Source organism: Homo sapiens, chromosome 13 (assembly GCF_000001405.40).
Source record: "Homo sapiens chromosome 13, GRCh38.p14 Primary Assembly".
Lineage (NCBI taxonomy): Eukaryota > Metazoa > Chordata > Mammalia > Primates > Hominidae > Homo > Homo sapiens.
The window spans coordinates 68,853,590-68,861,283 of record NC_000013.11 but is presented as its reverse complement, the minus strand read 5'-3'; positions in this window follow the sequence as shown (position 1 = coordinate 68,861,283).

Here is a 7,694-nt window from a genome sequence, read left to right as displayed (position 1 = left end):
TATTTAAGATTTTTAACAAAGGAACCAAGAACATACGTTAAGGAAATGATACCCTCTTCAATAAATTGTGTTGGGAAAATCAGCTATCCATATATGGAAGAATTACCTGGACTCCTATCTCTCACTATACACAAAAATTAACTTCAGATAAAATAAATAATTAAATGTAAGATGCAAAACTATAAAACTAATAAAAGAAAACAGAATAAACACTTTAGGACATTGACTTAGGCAAAGATTTTATGGCTAATACCTCAAAAGCACAAACAAAAATATACAATTGGAACGATGTTAAACCAAAAGGTTTCTTTACAGCAAAGAAAATAATCAACAGAGTGATGAGAAAACGTTTTTCATAGGAGAAAAAGTTGCAAACTACTCATCTGGCCAGCAACTAATATATAGAATATATAAGGAATTCACACAACTTAACAATAGAAAGAATAATCCAATTAAAATATAAGATAAGAACACGCATAGTCATTTCTTTAAAAAAAAACATGCAAATGGCCCACAGGTATATACAAAAATGCTCAACATCACTTATCATTAGTAAAATGCAAATCAAAACCCCAATGAGATATCACCTTACCATAGTTAGAATGGCTGTTATTAAAAAAACAAAAAAAATAGCAGATGGTGGCAATGAAGTGGTGAAAAGGTAACTCTTATACACCCTTAGTGGGAATGTATGTTAATACAAGCACTGTGGGAAACAGTATGAAAATTTCTATGAAAAGCAAATAAAAGAACTACCATACAATCTAGCAATCCCACTCCCAATTATCTATTCACAAAACAAGCTTTCTTATACAGGTATCTCAAAGAGGTACGTGTACTTGTCCCTCCCCTGACATGTGGGGATGACAGTTCAAGATGAGATTTGGGTGGGGAAACAGAGCCAAGCCATATCAGTGAGTGAGTCAAATTTATAGCTGTATAGAAGCAATAAAATAAGTCCTAGTGTTTAATAGAATAATAGAGTGACTGTCATTTGCAACAATATATATTTCAAAGTAGCTGGAATTGAAGACATGTTACAAACACATAGAAGAGATAAATACTCAATATGATGAATACCCTCAATAAGCTTTCTTGATCATTACATATCCTTTGCTTTTAAAAGCATTCACATTACTCCATAAATATGCAAAATATTATCTATCAATAAAAGAAAAATAATATTTTCAAGTATGACTACTTCAATTATTTCCTCCTGAAATAGTCATAAAATATATAGGTCATGGAGCACAATTTAGTGGGATAATAATAAGTAGCTTGAGTATCATAAAAATTATGTTTTAAATGTTCAGCTCCCCACTTCCTTACTAGCTGTATGATCTTAAAAAGGCAAAATAACTTCTCTGATTCTCAGGTTTTGGTGTGTAACACAATGTCAATATGTTCTGAATGGTCCATGAGGCTTAAAAAAGCTGAAAGCAGATAGAAAATATTTCTACGCTCTCTGCTGTATAGTGAAGCATTATTAATACACACAGGTATGTGTGTGCACATGCACACACAGACACACACACAATTTAGTATCACTTTCCTTGAGTTGTCTTCTCAAATGGATTATTCCTATTTACTCCCCACAGGGAAAAGAGATAGGTTGAAAAACAACAGGGACAATCAATATAGAATTATATTTTTATGATCAACATTTTATAATTTTTCTATATTCTTGCCTAAAGTTATTTTGCTATGTTCACTAACAAACTTTATTAGAAAAATACATATCAGAACTAAAGCATTCTTTGAGATGTTGTATTCAAAAACAAGTTGTATATGGCCGTGTTTTTATTGTTTGTCAAAATTTAATATGTTCTTGTAGTATCAAGTAAAACAATAAAATACAGCATTTTATCATGCAGTCAAATTATACTAGAAATGAGAGTGCAATGATCTTTTACCAAGCCAAATATAAAGATGATAAAAGTGTATATGGTTTCTGTTGATTCTAAATGTCTAATTATCTCAGAAAGTTATGATGGAAAAGTTCTACCTCAGACTTATTTTAGTGTATATTATAGGATTATTGGATGAATTTCTTCACTTTTATAGAGAATGAGATGCATAGTAAACTTTGAAACAGTTGCTAAGATGTCTATCTTTAAAACAAAATAGAGATTATCTCTTTCAAAATAAAAGAATGCACATGAAAAGTACTTATAAAATGTTTATAAAAATATATTACTTCCACAGAGCAGTTCTCAAATCATGGGTGTGCACTAGGTTTTTATACCTTTTTAAATCACCTTTAGCTCACTGCCACTTTTCCGTCCACCCCCTTCTTAATTACTGCATCTGCCTCTCTCTCACCAGCAATTATTTCTAGTATGTGATTGCAATATAATTTTTTCTTTAGTTTTTCTGAACTTTGGCATTTTATTACTGTGTTAAATCTCAAGTTATTGTTTTGGTGTAATAGTCTTAGTATATTGTTTAATTGGACATTTTTTCTTGTTTCTTTTTTCTTTTTGATGTTATTTGATTAAGTGAGATGATGACAAGAATAGGTAAAACAGCTGGAGTTGCAGTAGATTTAAGTACATGGAGAAGAATGAGACTGATTCCTAGGAGAAACACCAATAGGTAGAAGACAGAGAGTGATTCTCCACACACCTAAATTAAGTTAGTTACACTTTGTATTTTGCAATAATGTAATTATAGGGAGAATTCAGAAACATATTAATACAACATCTTTATGTGACATTAACACAAATTCACCCAACCTGTAAAACATGTATCAGTCTACTTGTAAATCAGATAACACATCCCTGGATAGCATAGCTTTCAGAGTCATTCAAAAAGTGCCTATTGATTTTTTCCCCTTATTTATGTAAAAGTTGCTGTGAATATGTTTCAATTTAAAGGCCACTCTCTTTGTTTTTTGACATATTGAAAACATTTTCCTACTTATAGTATTTGAACATTTTGACAATAAATTCTTACTTGACATAGTATAATTTCCATAATGCATTTTAAGCTAGCCACAGAGATACTAAGATACAGTTACATAATAATGAATCTGGGTGGATAAGTCATAACTTTCACACGAATAAATGGTTAGGTCTCTAAAAATACCAAAATGCCTATTGATTCAAAATTTCAATGCTTCTTTATAGGAATAGTAGTATCTATCTCATAACACAGCTACTGTTTGAAAAAATAAAGTACAGGAGAAAAATTACTCTCTAAATTGAAAATACAATAAGTACCTTGATGATTTTATTTAATATTTAACATTTTAGTGAATTTTTCTGATCATTCCTTGAGTATAAGCAGTATTTTAAAATGCATTCTCTGTATCTTTATTGTAGATTCTCTTAAAAGAGTGTGATGTTTTCATTTGAAATTATCAGGACTTCCTGACCCTACTTATTCTCCAAATGAAATAATATTTATATTTTAATGTTCTAATGAATTTAAAGGAGATAAGTCCTGCATTTTTAACCACAAATATTTGCTTGTTTTGAAAGATGCTTCATATTTCTAATATTCTCTCATGCCAAATCTACCTTTTGAAAAAATGCTCAGAAATTGATTTTTGTATAAAACAGTATTATTTCTTATTCAAGGGTTCCTGAAAGCGTATCTATTTGAACCACATACATATAGGGCACTGTTGAGGAAAAATACCACTAGAAGAGTTTTTATTTTCACTTTAATTCAAAAAGATTCTTTTCATTGTTTTTAGCATAATAGATTGTATTTGACATTGTCTGAGTGCTTTCTGAATAGTTTATTTAATAACGAGCATTTTGCATATTTTATCTCATTTATTTGTCAAAACAATTCTTTGAGCTAGATATTATTAGTCTCATTTTTCAGGAAAGGAAATTGAGGTGTTAAGAGTTTTGAACAACTTTACCAAATAGATAGCTCATTAATAATTAGAGTTGAAAGGTTTATGATACCCAAGTGTGTTTTATGCACATATAATTTTTGTATATTAGTTGTGTCAGAGTCTAATCAAAATCAAAATCAATAGCTGATCAGGAAATTGGGAAATAGGAAAATAGAGAAAGGGGGGAAAATAAAATGGTGATCACTTGTGGAATCACTGAAGATAGATTGGAATCCAAATTGTTTTCTTCCACTTTGAGGTTTTCAGCTTTGATTATGAGGGGATTATGAGTGAAAGTTGAAACTTTCACTGTGGGTCTGATAATTCACATAATTGCAGAGTCAAAGAAGCTGAAGGAGGAGATTCAGCAGGAGCTGGACTTCCAACGGATCTTCTGGGTCTAATAAGGGGGAAAAAATGGGAATTCAGAGGGTAAGTGGCAATCGGCGTCAGCTAAAACATTTTTGCCCTGCCCCATATTGGAAGTGTAAGAGTTTGGCTATTTCATTTGCACCTACCAAATCTCACAGAAAATGTCCCTTGTAACTACGTGAATTTAGACATACACAGGGCAAGGAATATTGGAAAAATACACACCCAACTTAGCTATGCTGACACACTGTAAACCTACTACAGTCCACGTATATACAAGTCTGTGGGCTTGTATATATCCCACGTATAGCAATGTTTAACCTCCAAATAAAGACATGGGTACAATCATACCTCTACCAAAGAAAATGCATCTTTTCCTCATAACCAGTAGTTCCTCCTTATCTGTGGGAGATATGTTCCAAGATCCTCAGTGCATGACTGAAACTGGATAGTACTGAACTCTGTATATGCTATGCATACATTTCTTTTTTCTTCTTCACAATTTCATGGATAGAAGATTCATTCTTAGTGTAGATTTTAGCAACTTCAGCATACAATTTTTTAATTTCTTTGTTAAGTCAAGAACTTTCACCTTTCACTTAAATGAAGAACTTTATGTCTTCTCTTTGGCCTATTCAAACTGCCAGCATCTTGTGTTTTGGGGCCATTACTATGTAAAATAAGGGCAACTTGAACACAAGCATTGCAATACTGGGGTAGTTGATCTGATAACCGAGAGGACTACCAAGTGACTAACTGGGGAACCTATAGAGTGTGCAGGTGCTGGACAAAAAGAGCTGGGCACAGTGGCTCATGCCTGTAATCCCAGTACTTTGGGAGGCTGAGGCGAGAGGATCACCTGAGGTCGGGAGTTGAAGAGCAGCCTGGCAAACATGGCGAAACCCTGTCTCTACTAAAAAAAAAAATACAAAAATTAGCTGGGCACAGTGGTAGGTGCCTGTAATCCCAGCTACTTGGGAGGCTGAGGCAGGAGAATCACTTGAACCCAGGAGGCCAAGGTTGCAGTGAGCCGAGATTGCACCATTGCACTCCAGCCTGGGCATCAACAGTGAAAGTCTACCTCAAAAAAAAAAAAAAAAAAAAAAAAAAAAAAAACAAAGATGATTCTCATCCTGGACAGGGTGGAGTGGGAAGACATAAGATTTTCCCACTCAGAAGAGTGTCAAGGTAAAACTTATAAACTGTTATTTCTGTAATTTTTCATTTAATATTTTCAGACCACAGTTGACTGCAGTTTACTGAAATTACGAAAAGCAAAACCAAGGATAATAAGGGGCTACTATAATAATAAAAAATAAAAAATGTGTTCATTGAAAGATGCCTTAAATCTCTCTCCCAAGGTCTCTATATCCATGGGCCTTGTGTTTTTTTCTAGGTTAATTATGTGCTATCCCTCTTTGATGTACATTAACTTAAATACTGAAATTCAAGGTTATCTACTAATAATAGTATTCATGTTATGTGATAGGGTTATGGAAGAGGATAAAATAAAATTATTAATACATGTGATAATATAACCATATAAAATTCAAAATAAGGGATATTCATAATTATTATAGTTCTGGTATCTTCAGGTGGTCATGTGGTTATAACCAGTAATTAAATCTGCCTTCCCTGACTACCCATTTATGTTTTCTTGCACTAAGCAAGCAACTCAGCTAAGTATGGTTCCTTGCATGTTGGGTGGTACACATTTTTATTCCAAAAGTTTAAGACTATCAATAGGTTTGCCTGTATTGTGTTGCTATTATTTTCGTTTGGCTTCATAACCAGGAATTGAAATACAATAAGACATCCAGGAGATCCCCTCCATTTCAGACATACTCCTACTTATTCTCATTATGTAGTAGGAATCCAATGTCACTTTGAAAATCAGAATAAATCACTCAAAAATGTGGAGTAATATCTTTTTTTTCCTACTGATTCACTGGCATTGTGGCCATTTGAGCTCATCTTCCAGTTTGGAACCCTGTGAAATATTTTACATGGGTTCTGAAGACACATGCAGCTGAACTTTATGCACAGTTTAAAAATCAAGAGCATGATAAAATGATAATTTTCAGAATATTTTGTAGGATAATTATTTTGAAAGTAGGTATAACTTTGTCCTTTCTTAGATGATAAGTCAATGCAGGTATACCTTTGGCTGCTTTTCCAGGAACTTGAGAAGTCAGATAAAATACATGTTCAATTCTGTTTCAAAGTAGAAGGGCAACTTCTTTCATTTCCCATAGTTGAAAATTATTTTTTAAACTTGGTTCTATTGATATACTAAGACTATGTTGTATAATGGATTCTTGCCACTAGCTACTCTTTTGACATTTCAGAATAAGAATACATTCAAATGCAAAAACATTTGAAAAATTAATTATATACCTAAGTTGAAAATTCCTGAAACACATTCATTTATTCAATCTAAAAATACTTAATTTCCCTTTTTAGAGCTACGATTTGTGTTAATGTAGTGTATAGAGTTGTGCCAAAAAGTGAACATAGCAAGCCTGAGATTGACCATCCTTAGAAAAAACTACAAGTTTGGTACTTGTTTGGTCTCCGGGAACTTGGCTGATAATCCATTCCCTACACTGATATAAAATGCTGATTAAACAAGTGTGTCTGACTGTCCCTAAACTGTTTGCATACGTGGTGTGTTTTGTGCTGAACATGCTTTTCTTCTTTCTTCGATGTGCTAGGCAGAGGGCGCCTATGTGAGTGGGCTCAAATAAAAACCTTGGACCCTAAGATCGCATTTAGCTAACCTACTAGCCAACACTTTGCAGACGTTGTCACATATTTTTTTCAGAGAATTAAGTACTCTGTGTGAAGCAACTGGGAGAGGACATGTAAAACCCTGTGTTTGGTTTTCTCCAGACATTACTCTACCTACCTTTCCTTTTGCGAATTTTGCTTTGCATTTATTTACCGTAATAAACTGTATGAGCATAATGGCTTCTGAGCCCTGCGAGTCCTTATAACAAATTGTAATAATTTCTATAGAGAGTAGCCTAGAATAATAAAGCAGAGAGTCTTGTGAGGTCAAATTTGATTTGGAGGTTAAGTTAAGCTTTTTGAATACCTTCGCACATTAAATTTCTTAGTGTATGAAAAATTACAATTCTCTGGATTCCATTTTCTAAATGGTAGGAAAAAAGCATGGCATTCTCCTGTTAATGCAGATATTGGAGAATAATAATATTTCTCATTGGTTCTATTTTTCCTGTTGAGCTAGGCCTACTTTTTCTACACTATATTGCTCACGTCCCTGCTTATTTCTGTAAAACCTCCTATATGAAATCTTTCATTTAATGAAAAAGGCATGATTTTTCAACCAGTTTTATGTGCCCAATGGTGTGATAGAAACTAAACATACAGAAATACTACAAAGAATTCTTCGTCTTGCAAGAGCTATTCATAAGCAATAGTCAATTACAGTAGGACGTATTAAGTTTTG